The 22297-nt window shown below is 52.3% G+C and overlaps 1 long non-coding RNA gene across 1 annotated transcript in view, besides 1 other annotated feature; it reads right to left on the reverse strand.

Annotated features, from left to right (window-relative positions):
- Positions 1-214: 214 nt before the first annotated feature.
- The window catches only part of EN2-DT (EN2 divergent transcript), a 35913-nt gene continuing 13830 nt past the window's right edge, over positions 215-22297 (reverse strand). Inside the window, exon 3 of the long non-coding RNA NR_186580.1 lies at positions 215-482. This is a non-coding gene — a long non-coding RNA (EN2 divergent transcript). The remainder of the gene's footprint in view (positions 483-22297) is intronic.
- Positions 19541-19756: a silencer, noted in NCBI's record as "fragment chr7:155233227-155233442 (GRCh37/hg19 assembly coordinates)". NCBI's record gives its function as "represses an EF-1alpha promoter that drives an FKBP-Casp9 reporter gene in an ReSE screen in HepG2 liver carcinoma cells {active_cell/tissue: HepG2}" and the evidence as "EXISTENCE:reporter gene assay evidence [ECO:0000049][PMID:32094911]".

The following is a 22297-nucleotide window of genomic DNA, read 5'->3' on the forward strand; positions in this document are numbered from 1 at the left end:
AATAAACCACACACACTCACACATACACACACACTCACATACACACACACACTCACACACACACATTCTATTGCTTCTGTATCTCTGAAGAACCCTGAAAAATACAAGTGTGCGTTTCAGAACCACTCTCTGAGGGCATTCACAGACTCACCTGTGCCATTGCTGGCCGAGTCCACATCTCTCATATGGGGTCTTGCCCTCCTTAGTCCTCTGTCACTTGGGGCACCTGCCACGCCTCTTCCTTCTGCCTGTGATGTTCACTTTCCAGCCAGCTCCTTGTCTCACTTCTGCTAATGGCCCTGCTGTCTTCTTGGGTTGAAACCATGGCATTCTCGGTACCTCTAAAAAGATCCCATCCATTATGGCTGTCTGAGCCTCTCAGCTGGACCTTCTCCGAAAAATGGCCAGGGAAACAGATCCTGCCTGCCACATCCAGTGGAGTTGCAGGTCACTGCTGGCAGGACTGCCTGTTGGCATCAGACCTAGAAAGGGGAGGATGCAAACTAAGCCATTACACCTGTCCTTCTCGCCGTGCTCAGGAATAATCACAGCAACACGTGTACAGCGAGCACCTACTATGTGCAGCTCATGTATTTTCTGACTCTCTGGCTAATATTTTTCTTCTGTACAGGGAAGTTAGTTTTGGCTGCCAGCAGCTTTGTGGGACACAACCACAAGAATGGAAGATACATGGCCATTAGGATTCTCACCTCCGGGACCAGAAGGATCTAGACTCACTAGCTGTATAAATGTAGTCAAGTAATTTAAACTCTTAAAACTACACATGTCCTTGTCTATAAATTGAGAATAATAGTATAGTTGTGAAGCTTACATATTTTAGGTAGAATGTGATTGTTGTTCGGCACACAGGAAATGCTCAATGCATGTCAACTCTTATTACTGTCACCATCATGCATCTACAAAGGGCTTGAGTGACTAACAAAAATTAAATCAAGATTTGCCCTATCATGAGTACTTACCTGTGTTATCAAACTACACTTGAATTCACCTATTCATGAGGTTGACCCTGTCACTCGTGTTCCATTGTGGGCTTTGGGGGGTGGAGTTCACCCGCACACCCTGGGCAGAGCTGTGAGTGCATTTATAGCTTTGTAGTGTAGCCTCCTAAAATGGAAGGGCTAGAGGTAACCTGAGCCATGATCATCTCCGTGTGAAAGATGGGTGCTGACGTCCGCAGACAGCACAGGGAGAGAAGGGGCCGCATTTTCTTCAGGCTTCGTGACTCAGTATGGAGCCACCAGCAGCACTGCCCAAGCTGTCTTGAGGAGCTGGGATCCGAGGCTGACACCCAGTGCTGCCATGCTGGTTACTGCTGGTTAGCACTGTTGGCAAACTGCCACCAGCCCAGCCCCCGAGCACTGCCTCCCCCACTGCTTGGCGGCTGTCCCCACCCTCTACCCCCATCCCAGCAGCGTTGGGGGTGCAGCCTGCCTGAGGCCAGCATCCACTGGAGCAGCCTGTGCCACTCAAACCCTGGAGCACTTTGTGTATCGCCCCTCCAGAGACCCTCAGAAAATGAGGAGATGATGTGAGGGAGCACCGTACTGCCCTTGGAGCTCCACGACCTCCTCACCTGAACATGAAACTCTTATTTTGAGGGAACATGAATTAACACTCCCAGAACAAGTGCGGGGAATACTGTGTGAAATAAAACTCCGGGGCTCCTGTTGGGAGAAGGAAAATATAAAAGAGAGGAAGTGAGCAGGATGTGCCAGGAGACGTGTCAGAGGCGGCTGGGCTCCCAGATGAGGTGTGTGTGGACCCCGCAGGGTGCAGCAGGAGCCTGCAGGACTTCTCAGGGCCTTTCCTGCACTAGGAGACGGCAGGGCCCACAAGGGAACGTGTTCTAAAAATGAGCGTGCTCTTCCGTGGGGCCTTTTCAGGCTCACTCGCTGCATTTTTTGTCTCCAGGCATTTGCTGTATTTTGTGTATGTGCAGTTGGTGGCCTGTGATATCCTGGGCAGTGCACTCAGTTTGGGTGCTGTCCAGTGCCCCCTGGTAGAGGGCCCTCCCGCCCTACACACCCTCAACCTTGAAGCAACCTCGACATTTGGAAACTGAGATGTCATACTGGGCACTCCTCCACATTGGCGACCATCCACAGCCCTGCCTGGTGCTAAAGGGTGGGCTGCATCCCTGCTACCTCTGTGAGCCTGGGAAAGCATCGGCCCAACCACCTGCCAGAGAGCCCCGGCCCGCCCTCCCTGGAGCAGCCCCAGGCCTTCCAGCCCCATCGCAGAATGCTTCCCAAACTGTACCTGCACTGCGGCCTTATCTCCACCACCCCCACCGCTCTGTGCTCCAACAGAGCCCTGTGGAGATGAATGGCTGGAGAACACATTGCTGTCAGGCCTCGGAAAGGCACTGAGACCCAGGTCCCCACTCCAGCTCTGGCAGGTGGAGGCGAGGGAGTGGGAGGAATCTTACCCAGACTCGAGCTTGCCTCCCAGCATGGCTTTCCACGGCCAAGTAACCTTGCACTGCCGACTTCATCACTGTGAGCCTCAGTTTCCTCATCTGTAAAATGGAGCCATGGATTCTGAGGCCAGGAGTTGTGTGCAAGGACGTATTCAGGAAGTGACCCCAGGAGACTGGTCAGAGTGTGGGAGAAGCAGAACGGGGAAGCAGAGGGGGCCGGGCAGGGGGCACTGCCAAGGGCGCCTTCAGCCACGGGGAGTCCTGGGGAAAACTGCCCAGAGTCACCCTCGGCAGAAGCAAAGGAGATGGGCAGCCACAGCCGGCACTGGCCATGCAGGGCCCTGAGGATGGGGTGGAAAGCGGCCTCTCAGGCCTTCCCAGCTCCCCGTGTCCAGTGGGGTCTGGCTCCTTTGGCCTGAGATAAGGTCTCCAGGGAGCTGCCCAGGTGATGAGGTCTCCAGGGAGCTGCCCAGGTGCTGGGCTTGAGAAAGGAAAGTTCACAGAAGGGTAGGGTTTAGAGAGCAGCAAGAAGGCAAGGGTCAATCCATGGAAGCACGGCCATCCCCCACCACTGGGACCAGCCCGCCTATTGCCAGGACCGTGGTGAGGGCCCAGGAAGCTGCCCGCTTCTAGCTGAGGGGCCAGCACACAGGATGCCCCAGCCCCGGGAACTCCGTTCCCCTCCAGGACACCCTCGTTCATCACAGTCTGGCCTCGTCTACATCAGCAGGGTCGGGCATGGGGTGGGCCTGGGCTGTTATTAACAGCTCAAAAAACAATTTTCATTCTGCAAGTCATTTGGCCTGCCCCCCCACCCCATTTGCCCGCCTGTCCATTACAGGTGCCACTGAAGATGAGACTTAAGCTGACCAGCCTCAGACGAGACTTCCAGCCAAGGTTTGGTCTTCACGGACGGGAGGCCTGAGGCCTGTGCCAGTCCCGTGGGGACCGCAGCCACCAATTCACCGTGCGCTCCTCCAGCGTGAACAGTCCTGGCTCCCTCTCTCCTGAGCTGCACTCAGGGGAAACCCGAACAAGACCTCTCGCCCCTTGGCTTGGTTGTGATTGTGGTTGCGGCTCCAGGACAAGCTGGGCACCATGCACTCCCTGGGGAAGTTTCTGGGTAGGCACCATGACGTGGGGTATCCGAGGCCGCCCACCTCAATAGCCATGCCTGGTCTGCAGCTGGACAGTGTGTGTGCATGAAGGTGGCCTCTGGACTTAGGGCCAGGAGTCACCAGTCAATGATTCTGTCTGGGTCTGGCTATTTCAGCCATCTTTGGGGTCCACTGCGACCCCTGTCTGGGATGGTGAGATCCCACCAATTATGTTAAATTGACCAAAAACAAAAAACTGTGAGACTGTTGACTGGACAGACTTGCTATCCATTAGCAGACCTTGAGGATGTCCTTACCCAGCTGAGGCTGCAGATGAGGGGCCACGGGCCCCCCACCGCACTCGTCGGCAGGAGAAGAGAGTCAGTACGTAGAAGTGCACAGACACCTGATGAATCTAAGAGCAAATGAATCTCTTCTTCAATACTGCTCCTTCGAACCAATCCTGCCTAAACACCGAGTCTATCCACCCAGCAGACACTAATGGGTCCCCTCCGGCCTGCCTCATACAGCTGCAGCATGGCGCGTGCTGTACCATTACAGATGGGTCAGCCTAGTGGCCCTGGACCTGGAGACAGTGCCCGCCCTTCTGCTGCAGGACCTCACCTTAATGAATTACATCTGCACCAGCCCTGCTTCGCGGTACATTTCTGTTGTCTGAAGCTACCAAGCTGCAAACCTGGGCAAGGAGTGGAGCTTGGATAAGAATCACCTGGGAAAGGAGTGGAGCTTGGAATAAGAATCACCTGGGCAATCACTATAAACTGTGGCTCCCGAGGCCCTGCCAGAAACCCTGATTTAAGCTGCAGGCTGCAGGTGATCGTGATGAGAGCCCGTTCTATGGAATGGAAGCCTTCCGGCACTGTGCTGGGCAAAGATCATCCTATTTGTCTGTGGGCTTCAGACCCTTATCCTTGCCTGTCAGCCCACAGTTCTCTCTCGATTCTGACCACTGGTCACCTCTGGTTACAACCCAAGCCCCCACCTCAGCCCAGAGCCACAAACACCCCGAACTCCTCTGAGATGGTCCTGAACATCCGCATGTCTGTGCTTCTCCGTCTGTCTATGTATTTACGATGCCTGCTTGAGCCATATCACACCTAACCAGCAGGTGCCTCTGTGCCCAAAATGAAAAATTAATTAAGTTTAAGGCTTCAGGTTATGTAAAACAAATTAGGTCTCTGCTTCATCAATTTAAGTCCCCAAACCTTGCCACTAAGTTTACGTAGGTTGTGATATTGTTCAGTCAAATAACACAAACCTTAAAAAGCAGAAACTGTGTGTATAGAGTGATGACACAAGCTCATCAACTGTAGGAACTAGGTCAGAAATAAGCTTTTCACCCCACATGTGGGAGACTCTGGCCCTTGAATTATTCATGCCAATGTGTGCTCCACTGCTTTAAACGAGCCAATTGAGCATTGGTTTGGAAGGTCATTAACACCCAGGAAAAATGCAAATGGTTTTTTCTCCTTGTTAATTGTCATAGTCTGAGAATCACCCCACATGGAAAGGAAATGAAAGCAGGTTCCATCCCTGGTGGGGCAGACAGGGGCTCCCGCTACTGACAGACTCTTCTTGGATGTCGACTGGAGAAGGTCCCCGTGGGCAGCTGCCTCTCCATGGAGACCCCGGCTTGCTGGGTGAGGAAGCAAATTGAGGTGCTATTTAAAGCGACGTCTAATAAGTGACTAATCGGGACTCTTTCTCGGATAGGGTGGAATTGGGGTCAAAGCTCAATTAGCCTAGAAAACTTCCCCTCTGCCTGACCACTGGTGAGAGCGATCCTCAGCAGAATCTGCAGCCGAGGGAATTCATCCAAGCCCTGCATTTTGGAAGCCCACGGAGGTAGTGGGATTTGCCCAAGCTACTCAAATACTGAATGACAGAGATGAAACCAGAATCCCTCCTTGTCCCAAGCCCAGTGCACCTCTCTCCACACCTCCTGTCCCTGGGGAAGCCCATATTTGAAGGTTCATGGGAAGTAACACTCCATATCAGTAAGTGCAGCTGGAGGAGAGCAGGCTTCCACCCTGCATTGCAATCTGGAGGAGACTCCAAATGGGAACCACAGTGTTGTTCTCCAGATCCCTTCGGGGTGGGACAGAGGGGTCGTGGGTGTGCTGGGCTGGCCAAACAGCTTGGCGTGGTGCTGGTCTCCAGCTGAGAGCCGCCCCCCTTTCCACCCTGGCTACAGCCTCCAGCACAGCCAGGAGGTCAAGGTGCTCCTCACTGGCACTGCCAGGCTCCAAGTGCCGAAACCACGGGCAACCTCGGGAGGGCCCTTCCTCTCCTGTGTCTCGTGGTCCCAAAAAACACAGGTAGTGAGTAAAGAAAACAGGAGCATGTTCACTGATACAGGGTGAGGGGTTAGAGAAGGCCTCAAACAGCTGGTTCCAGTTTTGCTTATCAACAACACATTCTGTCTAGAATAGAGGTGATCAAATCTTAGTGTCTGTAAAACTTACCCAAGAGGCTTCTGACCTATAGGACCTGGAAGGATGATGTGTGGTTTCAAGTCCTGGCTTTGTGGTGATTTTTTTTTAACAGTGGTTTGTTCCAGCAGCCACAGGAATCCCGAACACCCCCCGGTGAGCACATTCGGAGTGGCTCCTTCCCCACCCACTGCTGACTGGGCCTCACCGTGCTCCACTCTGCCTCCAGGGAGCTTCCTGGCTTCACTTCACTTGACCAACAACCAAGAGAGGGCTCAGGGTGTCAGTCTCGGTGCTGTGGAGACTGGGGTGTGGCCACTGCTGCCCGTGGCCTTCCAGCAAGTCCTGTCGCCCTGCGGGATGAAAGCCTCAGGGACGGGGACTCCTCGTTCCACACAGAGCTCCGCCCAGGAGCATCATCGGATGGGGACCAGCTTGGAGGTCAGGCTGCTCCCTTGTCTTAATGAATCCACACCCAGGAAAAAGTGAAGTTCTTCTTGGATCAAGAAGTTAAAGCCGGTAAGACAACCCTCCCCCCAGCAGCTCCCCGGCCGTCCTTCCAAGTCCACATCTGTGTGGCTGCTGTTAGCGTGGGGGGCAGGGGCTCCAGCATGGGGTGGGGGCACTGGGCCTTCTCCAAGACAACGTCAGGCCTGCTGAACTGCAGCCCCAGTTATAGCAGCAGCACCGGGGCTGAGCACGTGTTCCCCCCAGCCACACTCCCTACGGTCTAATCCCACATGACGGGCCAGGTTCTTGACTTAGGTAAGGTCAGTGCCAACTTCGCCTCGCCAACCGCAACCCCCACAGCCTAATCCCACATGGCAGACCAGGTTCTTAGGTAAGGTCAGGGCCAACCTTGACCCCAAATCCTGCCTTGTGGATCATATAGCCCCACACCTGTCACAGGGCCGTGTGCCCACGGGGTGAAGGTATTTATGGAATGAACTGTGTGGAAGGAGTTCGCTGACTCCCCCCAGTCTCTGGGGACTGCGTGTGGCTCCTCTGTCGTCTGTTCCTTCACTTCCCCATGCACTGAGGGGCTCGCCACGGCACGGCTCCTCAGAGCTATGCTGTTTCCTGCACTTGAGGGGGGCCTAGTCACCTCAATTGGCCCCATTAGACATGGGAGGAGAGAAGAGCTAGCTGGTGAGAAGGTGACTTCCTAAACCCCAGCAGCTATAGGAAATTCAGCAATTTCTGGCAGGCGCCTTCCTCCACAGGAGCAGGAACCAGTGTGGCACCAGAAGGAGATCTGGTCCTTGTTTGCAGGATGAAGTGCTGAGGACCAGGGTGGAGAGGCAGCTCACACATCACCCCACACCTTTTCCCATCTGGCCTCACCCGGTCATCCTTGCTCATGCTGCAGCTTGTGGGGTCCAGAAGCTGAGGTGCCGGGTCAGGCTACAGACTCTCAGCTTGGTCCTGCTTTGAGAAGCACACAGGAAATGCTTGCACAGAGCCACCATAAATAAGACAAGGTCCTTTCCTGGTAGGACTCACAGACCAGGACAACCAGAGGAGGAAACAGAAAGGGACCACGCGGGGGACCCAGGCCGCTTGGATTAGTAGAGACGGCTCACAAAGGCTTTGTGGAGAGGGAGACGTTGCCACCAAGTCTTGTTCTGAGCACTCGGGGATCTCCCTGGAGGGGCGGAAGGCAACAGGAGTGTGTTCCCGGCCCGCCCCACCACCCGCAGGCACTCCGTGTGGGTCAGTGCACCATCCTTGGAGGTTCACTGTGGGAGAAGCTAATGGAAGCTGGATCACCTGGAAATACAACAGGGCCTCCAAGATTAAGCACTAAGAATAGCTGGCAAGAGATGGAGCAAGATGGGATAAGCCACCCCCTAGGAGTGACATCAGTGCCAGGGAAAGCCTTCAAGCCAAAGGAACCTGCAAAAGTGTCCCCCCAGCCACACTCCCTGTGTTCATAGAGTCGGTGCAGGTGGGGGGACCCAGAGAGGAGGACGACGGGGAAGGGGATATTCTAAACCTGTGCATGAACCCAGACAAAGCTGTGCACCTCTAAGCTGCACAGGTGTGGCAACAGAGCAAGGGTTTGAGGGGAGACTGAAACAGAGCAATGGCAGGGAGACTGAAACCCCCATCCAAGTCTCTGATCAACCCGGGAGCGACAGGTGTGAGACACACTCAAAGCAGCATAACAAATGCCTTGAGAACTGAGCTAAGATCCTAACCCACTGTATACCGCTCAGATTGGCCCCTCGGTGAGCAGGCACGGCTGAGACAAAGCAAAAGAGCGATGGCTTGGAAAATGAACACAGAGGCAAGATGAAACTTACAGCCTCAACTGCGTGCACTGATTGATTGCCAGACAGGGAAAGAAACCTACATTCTCCAGAGGTTTATCATAAGACCATAAGACCCAGAGTTCATACAACACGACATTCACAATGTCTGCAATACAATTCAAAATTACTAGACTTACAAAGAATCAAAAATATATAGCCAATTTCCAAGTGGAGGTGGCAAGGAGGCCCTAGAACAAGTGCCAGTGATGGAAATGTGGAACCCATGGGCACAGGAGTCCAGGCCCAGGGACCTCTGCAGAGCAGCCTCCAAACTTTGTGCCTTTGTGCAAATTCTAAAGAGCCACCTTAAAGAGAATATTCTTAATGGATGTAGCAGTGCACGTGAGCTTCCTGCTCCTGAGGAGCTTTGCAGAGCCCCCATGGATAGCATTCCTGGTTTACTCCCAGCTACCCTGACTCTTGCCTGCTCACGGATCCCAGCCTCCAGGCATGTACAATGTCTGCAGGTTAGCTGAGGGTCAGGTCGGGGGTGTGGGATGGAGCCCCTGGGAACACCAGTCAGTGAAGACAAGTGTCTTTTGAGAAATCCCAGAGGGTCATGGGAGCGGAGGCATCCATGCACGTGTGTGTGTCCCCACAGGTATGGGCTCGGCCATATGTGCTTGTGTGAGTTTGTGCAGGATGCAGATTTCCTCTGCTGCTTCAGGACTTGGCAGGAGGTGCCCAGAATGCCCACCACCTCCCTCCCGTGCACTGGCATGTAAATTGGGACACCTATATGGTGTGAACTGTGCTGCCTTACACATGGTGTCCTGGTGGGGTGGGCAGACTGACGCCTCCACCCAAAGGCCCTGGGAATCCCTGGGACAAAGGCAGTTTGTGTGTCCCCAAAGAAGAAGTGCTTGCATATATTATTTGTTATTGTTAAATTATTTAATGGAGACTTGTACTTCACACATATCTCACAAATTGCTTCATTGAAAAGAAAGAAAGACATCAAGCTGCAGTGGACCTAGGAATTTGGGGAATTGCTGCTAGTGTGGCACACCTGTCTCTTCTGTCTCCCAGAGATCTGTGCAAGAGCCATAAAACCATCTTGCCTGAGGACCTGGGGGAAAGGGGTCCAGTGTTCAGGCCACACAGCAGTAGCTTCACGGTCTCTTTATCTTATCCACCCAGGGACCCTGAGAGAGACGCTGCCCCCAGGGCCCAGCCAGCAGGAGCCTCCCTAGTAGAAAGGTTTTCTCCTTGAAAATGATGTTGCGGAAGAGAGGAGGGCAGGGGTACGGGAGGATGGGAGGAAATGAGAACCTTCCTTCTTAGCATAAGCAGCTGTTTCTTAAAACTCGGCTGTTGGGAGCAGTTTGAAAACGTGTCCAAACATTCAGTAAGCATTTGTGGTACACAGATCATGGACTCAGTAATGTGGTGTTGGGAGGTGGGAAGCGAAGGGGGTACAGAGGGAATATGTGCTGCTCCCCCTGCCTTTGAGGATGTAGCCCAGGTGCCCAGACCCGCACAGGAAGGCTGTGGAGGGGACAAGGACCCCGCACGGGTGGCAGCCAGGTTCAAGGCTCAGCTCTCCTCACTCATCTCTTGCCCTGCAGCTTTTTGGTCTGCAAATGGAAAGTCAGAAAACCTGCCTGACAGTGTGAGTGTCGGGAGCAAATTAGAAGCGAATAAGGGATGGGGAAAGAGTGCTCATCCGCTGGGGAACATCACACACCGGGGCCTGTCGTGGGGTGGGGGGCTGGGGGAGGGATAGCATTAGGAGACATACCTAATGTAAATGATGAGTTAATGGGTGCAGCACACCAACATGGCACATGTGTACGTATGTAACAAACCTGCACATTGTGCACATGTACCCTAGAACTTAAAGTATAATAATAAAAAAAGAAAAAAAAGAAAGAGTGCTCATCCGCAAATAGCAGGGGGTGGCTGTTATCTGCACGAATGTGTAGGCAGATCCTGTGTTATTTCTAAGTTCCGCCCCATGCCTGAGCCCAGGACAACCAGAGGAGGAAACAGAAAGGAACCGTGTGGGGGACCCAGGCCGCTTGGATTAGTAGAGACGGCTCACAAAGGCTTTGTGGAGAGGGAGACGTTGCCACCAAGTCTTGTCCTGAGCACTCGGGGATCTCCCTGGAGGGGCGGAAGGCAACAGGAGTGTGTTCCCGGTCAGCCCCACCACCCGCAGGCACTCCGTGTGGGTCAGTGCACCATCCTTGGAGGTTCGTTGAGGGAGAAGCTAATGGAAGGGGGGGACTGATGAGGCCAGTGGTTTTCTCACTTAAATGGAAAGTCCTGTGTCCAGGACCCAGGCATCCCAGAGGCATTCTAAAGTCTCCCCAGCATGCAGCCGCTGGGTGGCAGCCAGTGTGAGGGCCATGTTAGAGGAGCTTTAAGATTCTATTATTTGGGAGTCATCCTAGGTAGATGACAATCAGGGGTCCGGGAACATCTTGTGTAGAATAAATATGTAGGTCAAAGGCGCTCCTGCCACGTGGAAGGGCGTGTGAGAGGGTGTGAGCTGGGTCAGGAAGCTCCTTTCTGAGGCCTCTCTCCAGTCTGGTGTCCCAAGAAGCAGCGGCACGCAAGGAGGAGCGAGACCAGCAGAGACAAGAGCAGGAAGGAAGAGGAGCCGCAGTGAGAAGGTGGACCCGACGCCACTCCGTGACCATGTTGGTCATACAGGGACCATACAGGGCCTTTGTCTACATGTGGCGCAGCCTCTGACCATGGCATTCTCCAGGGATTACTCTGAAAGGCAGGCTCCCAGCCCTGCCTCAGCACTCAGAGCCCACGTAGTCCCGGCCAAAAGGGTCAAAGAGACATTGAATGCATAGGTACCGTGAAAGAAAGAAAGAAGGAAGCACAGCAGGGAAGGAAGGAGGGGAAGAGCGAGGGAGACAGGGAGATGGGAAGGGAGGGAGAAAGAAGGAGAGAAGGAAGGGAGGGAGTTAAAATTTCACAAGGGATCTATCTGGGTAAAATGTATGCCAGAGCCAAGCATCTACAAACACATAAATGCCCCCATTTTCCTGACATCTGTTCAGGAGATCCTTAACAGCCCTGACGATCTGAGCCAGCTACATTAGTGGATGTGTCACAGAGCTCAGGAAGAGGCAGTTTGACTATAATTCTGTCATCATCTGGTCTCCTGATGAGACCACAGCACTGCATGGCTGTCTGAGGCTCCTGGGCTCTGAGGGACTGGGTAAGGTTACTCGGTCTGGTGTCTGGTGGTTCCCAGACCTAGCTGCATGTCACCTTGGGAACTTGCTTTCCCCCATATGTTTTGGGTAGGAAGACTTGCTTTTTATTGAAGTAGAACGATCCTACAGAAAAGTGCACAATCTGAGTGTGTGGCATGGTGAGTTTTCACAAACTAAGCACACCCATGTAGGCAGCACCACCTCCAAAGATAACCAAGGTGGCTTCCAACGTCATGGTCTAGTTTTGTCTGTTTTTTACCTTTATATACACAGAGTCATGCACTCTGCACCACGTTGTGCCTGATGCTTCTTCTTCTTCGCGTTTATGAGTCTCGTCCATGTTGCACGTTGGGTGTTTTAAGTCATGCAGTGACTCATTTGCTGTGGCACCTGTGCCATGCGAGGTAAGGTGATAATGTGGAGAAACTAGACACAGGGGTCCAGGGGTCCAGGAGCACTCTGCACTGTCTTCACAGCTTTTCTGCTTATTTAAAACTATTACAAAATCAAAAGTTTTTTTTTTTTAAAATCAGAGGGAGGATTGAGAGGTGAGAGAGGAGACTTTGATTGGGCGTAGAAACCTTTTCTTTGGGGGAGAGAAGGTGCATCTAAATAAGTTCTTTTATCCATGAGCCTTTCTCTAGTGTTGCAGTGGGAAAATGGGATGCTCCAGATAGGCCACTACAAGGAACTTAGCCAAGTAATATGGTATTATGCTTCCAAAAATGAAGATACTGTGGGAGTATTATTAACGGTGCCATCAATGACACTATGCATAAATCATATCATGTACTATATATATGCACACACAGTGACATAGTTTGGATCTGTGTCCCCACCCAAGTCTCATGTTGAATTGTAACCCCCAGTGTTGGAGGTGGGGCCTGGTAGGAGGTGTTTGGATTATGGGGGTGGATCCCTTACGAATGGCTTGGGCCATCCCCTTGGTGTTAAGTGAGTTTGCTCTGAGTTCAGAGGAGATCTGGTTGTGTGTGTGGCACCTCCCCCCTCTCTCTCTCTCTTGCTCCTCGTCTGGCCATGTAAGACGTGCCTGCACCCCCTCCACCTTCCACCATGACTGGAAGCTGCCTGAGGCCTTCCCAGGATCAGATGCCACTATGCTTCCTGTACAGCCTGCAGATCCCTGAGCCAATTAAACCTCTTTTCTTATAAATTACCCAATCTCAGGTATTTCTCTTTTTTTTTTTTTTTTTTTTTGACAGAGTCTTGCTCTGTCACCTAGGCTGGAGTGCAGTGGTGCAATCTCAGTTCACTGCAACCTCCACCTCCCAGGTTCAAGTGGTTCTCCTGCCTCAGCCTCCTGAGTAGCTGGGATTGCAGGCATGTGCCACCATGCCCGGCTAATTTCTTGCATCTTTAGTAGAGATGGGGTTTCACCACGTTCACCAGGCTGGTCTCAAACTCCCAACCTCATGATCTGCCCATCTCGGCCTCCCAAAGTGCTGGGATTACAGGCGTGAACCACCACGCCCGGCCTCAGGTATTTCTTTATAGCAATGCAACAATGGCCTAACACACACAAAATATACAGAGCTGCATGCATTCGCTTAATGAGGCCTTCAATAAATGATGCGAGACCTAAATAGTGAAGTGGCCTTAAAAAATGCGTGAGTGTGTATGCAATGAGTATGTTCAGGGACGTCTTCTGGTACAGAATACGCCTCCTGGGGATGAACTCCACACCCGCAAATGGTGTTTTCTTCTATATGATGGTTCCTTGCTTCATTTTGTTTTGTTTTTACACACATAGTATCAGCAACTAGAGCCCCCAAGTTATTCAGCAGATTAGACTCCAAATGACCTGACATTTCAAATATTTAGAATCACTGTCAAAAAGAAGCACCTGCAGAGGACTCCCAGACAATGCAGTGTAGGCCTGGCTGGCACCAAACAGTGGCCCGGCAGGACTCTTCGGGTGGCAAGTGTTTCTCCTGGTTTGTTGTTAGTGTTCTGGCTTTATTTTGTTATGTGGGAATCATAACTGTTTTGTTGCAGATTTACCTTTTTTTTTCTTTTATGGTGTTCAGGTCTTGTGTCTTGTAGAGAAATAGGAAATAGAAAATTTCCCTACATCGATGTTAGTGTTTTGTCTATTTTCCCCATGCTTATTTCTAGACATTTTGTGTTTTCTTTTTACATTTAAATCTGCAATCCATCTGGAATTTATTTGTAAGAAGTAAGGTAAAAAATCCAGCTTTTTTTTTCAGGTAGTGACCAAAGGTAGTTATTTAAACGCTATTTATTGAATAACTCATCTTTTCCCCTGCTGATTCAAATTGTCACTTCTACCATAAACCAAAATCCCATATATATCTGTGTCAATGTCTAGACTCAATATTTTATGCCATCGACCTTTGTGTCTATTCAAAGTCAACTACAGGAGCTTTATAATATGTTTAATATCTGGGGCTACTCTTCGCTCAGCATTCTTAATTTGCAGGTGTTTTCTGGCAGTTTTTGGATGTTTATTTTCCACAAGAAAGTCAATGGCAACCTTTCTAATTTAAAAAGTATCTTGGTATTTTTGGAAGGAGCTCAAACATGATCTACTATATGAGAAGCAATCTCTGCACTGATTGAAGCATCCTCATCTATCCCCCATCCAGATGTAAATAATAATGACTGTAGCTGTGGCACATGCCTGTAGTCCCAGCTACTCAGGAGGCTGAGGTGGGAGGATGGCTTCAGCCCAGGAGGTCGAGGCTGCAGTGAGCTAGGACTGCACCACTGCGCTCCAGCTTGGGCAACAGAGCAAGACTCTAAAATACTCTGATGATGCTACTACTGATGATGATGATGATGATGATGATGATGATGATGATGATGATGAACTATAACACAGGTTCTCCTATGTTCAAGGGCAGCATCCATTCTGTAAATCCATAGATTCTGCCCTTCTGTCTCTCTCACCAACCTCCCCAAACCCCAGCCTGGCCCTCAGAAAAATCAGTATTGACTTAGAGAGCTATATTTTCTCCAAGGTCTTAGAGGGGCTGTCGGGAGGCAGGAATCATGGACCCCCAGCAACAAGTTAGACCCACCCATCCCAGGCCAAATGCAGAGAAATCATTCAGAGTCATTCAAGATGAACTCGAAGGGTGTTTCTGAGGAAGCTGTTTACATGATCAACGCAGGCCCTGCTGCCATCAGTCACGCAAGGCAGCTCCCGCCCAGGTTAGCTTCTCAGCGCTGTCCATATTTCTCCAGACTGTATTTTCCTTGCCCTTCCCCCAGCTTCTCTGCCCCAATTTTAAGACCCCTGTCCTCTCCTGCTTGCTGCCTTCTGGACATCCTCCAGGCTTTCAGGGTCCCTCCCTCCCTGTCCACCTTAACACAAGAGGCTCAGAGCACATACAGCTTCCTGTTCAGATGTGGTCTGAGCAGTGGACATGAAAACGTCACCTCCATGGTCCAAGCACTGATTTCCTTATTGTCTTTGTCCTCTCTGAATTCCACCAACTCCCTGCCCACCTGAGCTACCTCTGTCCCCCTCCCCATGTCCCAGCCTCCCCCATGACACTGGACGCCCCAGGGTCATGCTGGGCTTTAGTCTGGCCTGGACCTGAACAAGGGCTGCCTGGGACCTTGGTAGACCTCCCATCATTGGCCAGGGGCAGGAAGAAAATGCCGAAATGGGCCAAGAAAGAAGATCATGGAGGACTCACCTGGCCACCTCGTTCTTTGACATCCCCTTCTCCAATAATAACTGTTCGTCTATTCCACTTGGCCACCTGCGCCCACAGTCACTCTGTAAAGCAACCACCTCCAAAACCTCAGCTCCACTCCTGTTCCCTCAGAGCCCCCTCTTAGGCTCAAAGCTGTGGCTGGGCAACCCCCTCCCTCACCCTCTGGAAGGCTCCAGTCCATTCACCTGCCCCCCTGGGGCCTCCCCAGCACAGACTCTCCCACCATCACTGGGATCTTGGAAACACTCTTCCCTGGCTAGCTTCTCTCCTCCATCATTCTCGTCAGACCGAACTCCTGCTCCTGCTCCCTGCCTGCACCCCTTCTCACTGCTTCTGCCATCCCACCATCCTCTCTCACCAGGACTCATCACTGACTCCCTCCTTCCACTCCTGTCCACCTATGTTCAGTACAGCAGCCAAAATGATCTTCTTCCTATAAGCAAATCAGTTCCCTTGGATAAATCCTCCAGGCACTTCCATCCACCACCCTGGACTTCAAGCTCTACCCCAGGGCCTGCAGGGCCCCCCTTCCCTGCTCCCAGAATACTTCCCATCGTACCTTCTGGCACTCCGTCCCCCTCACTGCACCCCACTCCCTTCGGCCTTTTTATTTTCCACAACAGCCCAGGCTGGTTCCCTCTGAGCCCTCTGTACCTGCCCTTCTCTGGCTGGAATGAAGCCTTTCAGTGTTCCTCCAGGTCTCAGTCTTTCCCATCCTCTGGGCCGTCCCCAAATGTCTGCTCCTCAGGGAGGATTTTCCTGACCACCCAACCTACAGGGCCCCCACCCAGCACTCTTGACCATGACACACGGCCCTGTTTGCCTTTTTTTAAGCTTTTGGCAGCATGAAGCTCTCTTGTCAATGTGTTTGTCTGTTTGATTGATGGCTGGACTGTGGGGGGCTAGAAAGAGCCCAGCTCCCTGGTGCAATCCCAGAGCCCGCATCCCAACCCTGTGCTGGCTTCCTTCTGATCATAGAAGAACTCTTAATTAACTGAGGGGACCACTTGGGGGTCCAAGTGGACACAGTTCCTAATAATGCGGGGCAGGTGAGTCCCAGAATTGGGGCTTGGCCCAGGAGGGTTCTTGGCTTCACACAGGCAAGAATTCAAGGACGAGCCAGTGGTGTTGGGCAGCAGCTTTTATGGGGGCGGCAGTGCACAGCAGAGGCAGAGGGGCCACTCCTTGCAGAGCAGGGCTACGTCATAGGCAGTGCACCCAGAACAACAGCTCAGAGGCAGGGCTGCACTCACCTTTACACCCACTTTTAATTATATGCAAATTGAGGGGCAATTTATGCAGAAATTTCTAGGAAAATGTTGGTAACTTCCAGGTCATTGGGTTGTCACCATGGAAAGGGGTGGTAACTTCCAGGTGTTACCATGGCAATGGTAAACTGGCATGGCACACTGGTGGGTATGGCTTATGGAAAGCTGCTTCTGCCCTATCCCTTTTAGCTAGTCCTCAGTTGGGTCCAGTGTATGAGCCCCACCTCTGGAGTTGAGTCCAGCTTCCTGCCTCACTAACAGAGGTGACTCAGAGCACCCACACATTTCCAGAGCGCTAAAGCTTTCACGAATTCTCAAAAGATGGGAAGTCATTTCAGAAGGGGAGCAGGAAGTTTTAGAGCATCTTACTGTGGGCTCCACTTTGAGGAAAGCAGAACCTGAAATGACTCCAGGGGTCCTGAGTAGTCAAGCCTTAAACAAGGAAAAGAGGGGGACACAGTAACAGGTGAGCATTCAGACCTGGAGTCCAGAGGTGAGGACAGCCGACTCCAGGGGACTGCGGGGACTGCAGCTTCCAAGGAGCCCAGAGCCAGCACTGGCCCCCCACCTGCCTGCACCTTTTTCCAGTTAAGCAACTGCTCTAGGCAAACAGGAAATGCACCCCCACATCCCAGGGCTGTGTGGTGACACCTGAGGCCAGGTGAGGAAGGCGGGAGACAGGAGAAGGGTGAGGAAGAGGCTAACAAGGTGCTGGGTCAGCTGTGACAGCCACATCCACGGGGGCTTAGATTCCTGCAGCAAGTGCCATCTGGGAGTCATTTATCCTTCCAGTGGGCTGGGCGCAGGGTTCCCATCTATTCCTCAGATACATTACTAAGTGTAAGCCTGAGTCTTGCCTATGGTGAGGCAAACACAATGGAAGATCTGCAATTAAAGGTCCAGGCCTCAGTTTCCCTATTGGGATCATTGCCGGTGGCATTCTGGACCCTCCCTCAGGGGCCACCCTCCCTCTCCAGTCATCAGATTGGCTTTGCCCCCCACCCACAGCTCCAGTTGTCTCTTTTCTGCCTCCCATGGGGGATCCAGGCTTCAGGAAGGGCTGACATTCCTGTAATGCCCCAGAGGACTGACGGCGGGGTGGAGGAGTCTAAAGTTTGCAAATTAAATGCTTCCTTTTTTATTCCTCTCACCCTCTGAGCTGAACATCAGTCTCTTCCATGCAGGTGCCTGTGTCTTTCTCTGACAAAGGAGAACCAGGAGAAGCCGGGTTTATGCAGCATAGGGGCAGAGAGCTGGAGACAGGAAGGCTAGGCCACTCCGAGTTGTGCCCCCGACTCTCAGGGCCATCCCACCAGGGCCATTCCCACCTCAGGGCCTCTCTGTCCCCCTAGGAAAGAAGGACACCCCCTCACAGTCAAGGGCAGCACTGGAGGGGTTTTCCAAGCTCCCTAAATTCACAAGCCCTTGGCCGTCTCCTTTTCAAGATCAGCCTGATCACGCCATCAGTCCTCTGGGCTAAGCTATTAACTTCTCCTGGTGAGCATGTGACCCAGGCGTGGGGGAGGTGAGTTTATCAAGCGATCCGACCTTGGCTGAGATTCATTTCTTAGATCAGATGAGGAAGGGCATCCTGGGCCACAAGACAAGTGAGCCAGATAAGGAGACCGTGGAGGGAGGTGAGGGTGCTGCGGTGGTGCCCCAGGAGGGCCAGCTACTGGAGGGGCAAAGAATGGCCCTAAATATGGACTTGACACCTTCTCATTTTGTCTGGGGCAGCATGACCAGCTGTGGCCACAGGACAGGCTCGCCAGGAGATAGAAGAGAATGTGCTGTCCTGTCTCTGCCCTCCAGGCTGAAGTGGGGACTTTTTTTTCCCCAACACACATCCAGTCAGTTAGGAGGAACTGCCAGTTTGCTTGTGGAAAACACAATTGAAAAATAAAAAACACCCAAAACACTACCCATGCCCAGTGATTGCTCCCAGGGGAGGGGGAGGTGTCAGGTCACTCTTTGGCGCGGGGCCTCATGCAGGGAGTCCCTTGGGTGGCCCTGCCTGGGCAGTCCAGCTGTGGGAATCCAGGGGACCCAGCACCATCTGTCAACTGCACCCGGCACCAGCAGTCAGGGTGTGAGGAGGGGCGGTGCCCAGGACTTGGCATGTCCCCATCACGGGCACCCTCGGTTTCTGTAAATAAATCTCCTCTGATGTTAAAAAACAATCCGGAGCACCTCACTGCCACCGTAAACCCCGAGAAAAGCTAACCCCCCTTAGGTGGGCGGGAGCACAGCAAATCCTGTTCCCGCTGAACTCTCCTCTGAAGCTCGGGCCCCAAATGCTCAAAACGAACACTGACTCTGCCAAACGCCCGCAGGACCCATGGGCCTGCAGCTGGCACCATGGGCTTTTCTCCGGCCCTTGTGACCTGGCAGGAGCAGCAGCGACTGTCTGATGGACAGTGTTCCTGGTCACAAAGGACCACTCAGTTCAGGTGAAACTTGGGCTCCAAGTGACTGCTCCCTCCTGGAGGAGCCCAGCAGCCCGAAGGCCCCCACCTGGGGCGTGGATTGCTCTAGGATTGAGGAAACCTCTGCAAGAAACAAACGGCAGATGCCTCCCTCGATCTCTACTCCCACCTCTCTCCCCAAAGAAAACCCTTCCAGGGCCCTGTAGGCACGAAGATTCTCAGCAAGTGGTGGCCAGCTGCAGTCTGCTCCAGGAGGGCTGCAGTGATGGGACCCAGTGGTAGGAGCAGCGGCCACGTCAGGTGACTTATTCCTCGGGTGAGCTTGGCTCCGTGGAGAGGCCAGGGCATCACATTTGAGGCTTTGTAACCACACAGAGAGCCTGGGGTCACTTCCTTCCACCTCTGCTGAGTACTTGTTCTGACCTCTCCCCACTCAGGGCCAGCACCACCCAGCCCCTGTGTTGTCCCTGCCAACAGTACCCTCGCTTGACAATGGCAGGTGCATTTGAAGGAAGTGACCGGTTTGCAGGGAACTGCACCACCCTTCTAAAGCGCAGCACCAGACGTTTCCAGACCTTACTGGGGTCCCATCATCTGGGGAATCTGTTAAAATGAAGGTTTCCAAGTCTCATGCCCAGGGAGTCAGGCCCAGTCGTTCTGGGGTAGGGCCCGGGAACCTGCATTTTAATATCCTTACTTTAGATCTGATTTGAGCCTAAATGATGAGTTTTCTGTGTTGACTTGGCAACACAGTACCCAGTACCCAGTGATTCATCCAACACTTATCTAGGTATTGCTGGGAGGGTACATTGTGGATGTGATTCCATCCACACTCGGCTGACTTTAAGTAACAGAGATCCCCTCTGTGATGTGGTGGCCTCGTCCAATCAGCTGACAGCCTGAGGAGCAGAAACTGAGGGTTCCCAGAGAAGAAGAAAGTCAGCCTGAAGGCGGCAGCTCAGCCCCCCATGCTGGTCTGCTGCAGGCATTTTGGATTAACCAGCCCCATAACCACATGAGCCAATGCTTTCAAATACACCTCTCCATACACCTGTGGAGCTCTTCCATCTGCCGTTTCTCTGGAGAGCTCCTACAGATAAGCACCCCTTGGGGCTGTCATGAGGTTGAGTGAACCACAGCCTTCACTCCCCGAATGTGTGGCTCATAAAAAACATGGACACCTGTGCACTGATGCTCTTACAAAACCAATAGCCTGCGTTAATTGTAATAGACAAATAAAGTGATTTGTAATAAAATAATACATAAAAATAAATGTGTAACAAAGTAACACATACTTCCACATGTAATTGCCCAGGCACATCTGCACCAGACGATGTAATCACCAGAGAAAGGGGCATCCGGGCTTTCCTAGCCCCTCAATCCCCAGTGGTCCTGTTGGCGGAGATGGGGTTGTCCAAAAGGAGAGGTAGCCGTTGGTGAAGTTCTAGGAAAGCCCAGCACAGTAATTCCATGATTCCCCGTTGCTTGCATTCATAGCCTAGATCAAAACCACGCAAACAGTGCTTTGTAACTGCGACACACCAGCTCAGAGCATCGCCATCAGCCCCCTTCATCCAGAGTCCAGTGGGATATTCGTCGAGGCATAGACAGGCCTCACTGCACGGCTGTCCCACACATGTCTGGGAAGGGGCCCTACCCGCTAAACGCCAGTGGCATGCCCCTACTATCGTGGCAATAAGAAGGTCCCTGCAGGACGTGAAGATGCTCCCTGAGTTCAACCGCTGGGCTCTTAACCTGGGCTCAAATCCACGTCCTACCACTTCCTCACCCTGCGAACTGGACAAGTTACATGGCCTGTTGTTTCTCAGCCTTGTCAGCTGAGACATGGACATACAAATAATCCATCTCTCGTGGGGTGTGGAAGGAGTAAGTGAGCAAGGAATACTGTCTGTAAGGGGCTTGGGACTTAGTCTGGCCCGTGATGCCTGTTCTACCATCAGTAAATGTTGGAAATTATCGTCACCATCGCCACCACCTGCACTGTCATTGTTCTCATTCGGGGTCCCCATCTCACCACTGACTGCTCAGCCAGGACACCTCCCTCCCCCCTCCCAGGGCTCTGCCACTGCCGAGGCTTACCACTATGCCCTCTCCCCACCCTCCCTGTCAGCTGAGACCCCTCCCCTGGGTCCCATGCCTCTATGCACGTGGCTTCCTCTCCTTCTCAGTTGCCTACAGGCTCTTCTTTCTACCACAATGGGTTGTTCTCCATCTGTGCTGCCCAGGGCCGCACTCTCTGGCCACAGAACATGGCTCATGAGATGAGGAGCTGATCTGACCATTTTACTAAGTTTAATAAGTTAAAATGTAAACAGTTGCATGGAGCTAGTGGCAATAACATCGGACAGGGCAGCTTTAAAACTGATTTTTCCTCCATGCTACTTACCTCTCTGCCACTGGAAAACTCTGGGTGGCTTTCTTCTGCCTTTAGGAGAAATAGCAATACAAATAGCAAAGCAGGCTGGGCGTGGTGGCTCATGCCTGTAATCCCAGCACTTAGGGAGGCCGAGGTGGGTGGATCGCCTGAGGTGAGGAGTTTGAGACCAGCCTGGCCAACATGGTGAAACTCCATCTCCACTAAAAATACAAAAAAAATTGGCTGGGTGGTGGGCGCCTGTAATCCCAGCTACTCAGGAGGCTGAGGCAGGAGAATTGCTTGAAACCGGGAGGCAGAGGTTGCAGTGAGCCAAGATCATGCTATTGCACTCCAGCCTGGGCGACAAGACCGAGGCTCCGTCTTGTAAAAAGAAAAAAAAAAAAAAAAAAAAGCGAGGCTCCTATAGCACTTACTGTGTGCTAGGCACTGTCTATGTGCCTTCTGCATACAGCACATTTAACTCCCCTACAGCCCTGTGAGGGAAGTGCTATGCTCTCTCAATTCACATGTGAGGAAGCAGGAATAGAGAGTTTCAGGAACGTGCCACAAAAAGGCTGAGGTCCTTAGCAAGACTTACAAGGGTGCTGGAATCCAGACACTGCCTACCTCCGTTAGGGGCCGAGCAAAGAGATAACTTAAAGTCCTAATCCCCAATACCTGTGAATGTGACCTTATTTAGAAATAGGATCTTTCCAGATGTAATCAAGGTTAGATGAGCTTATTAGGGTGGGCTCTAATCCGATGCTACTTGTGACCTCATAAGAAGACACAGACACACAGAAGAGGCCACCCAGTGATGACATGGCAGAGACTAGAGTGATGCAGCTGGGAGCCCAGGACCGCCCAGGACTGACGGAGCCACCAAAAGCTGGAAGGGACAAGGGAAGATCCTCCCCCAGAGCCTTCAGAGGGAGTAGAACCCTGCTGAGCCCTTGATCTTGGCCTTCCAGCCTCCAGACTGCAAGAGAATAAATTCCTGTTGTTTCAGCTGTCCAGTGTATGGTACTTTGTTAT

The sequence above is a fragment of the Homo sapiens genome, chromosome 7 (assembly GCF_000001405.40).
Source record: "Homo sapiens chromosome 7, GRCh38.p14 Primary Assembly".
NCBI classification, from domain to species: Eukaryota; Metazoa; Chordata; class Mammalia; order Primates; family Hominidae; genus Homo; species Homo sapiens.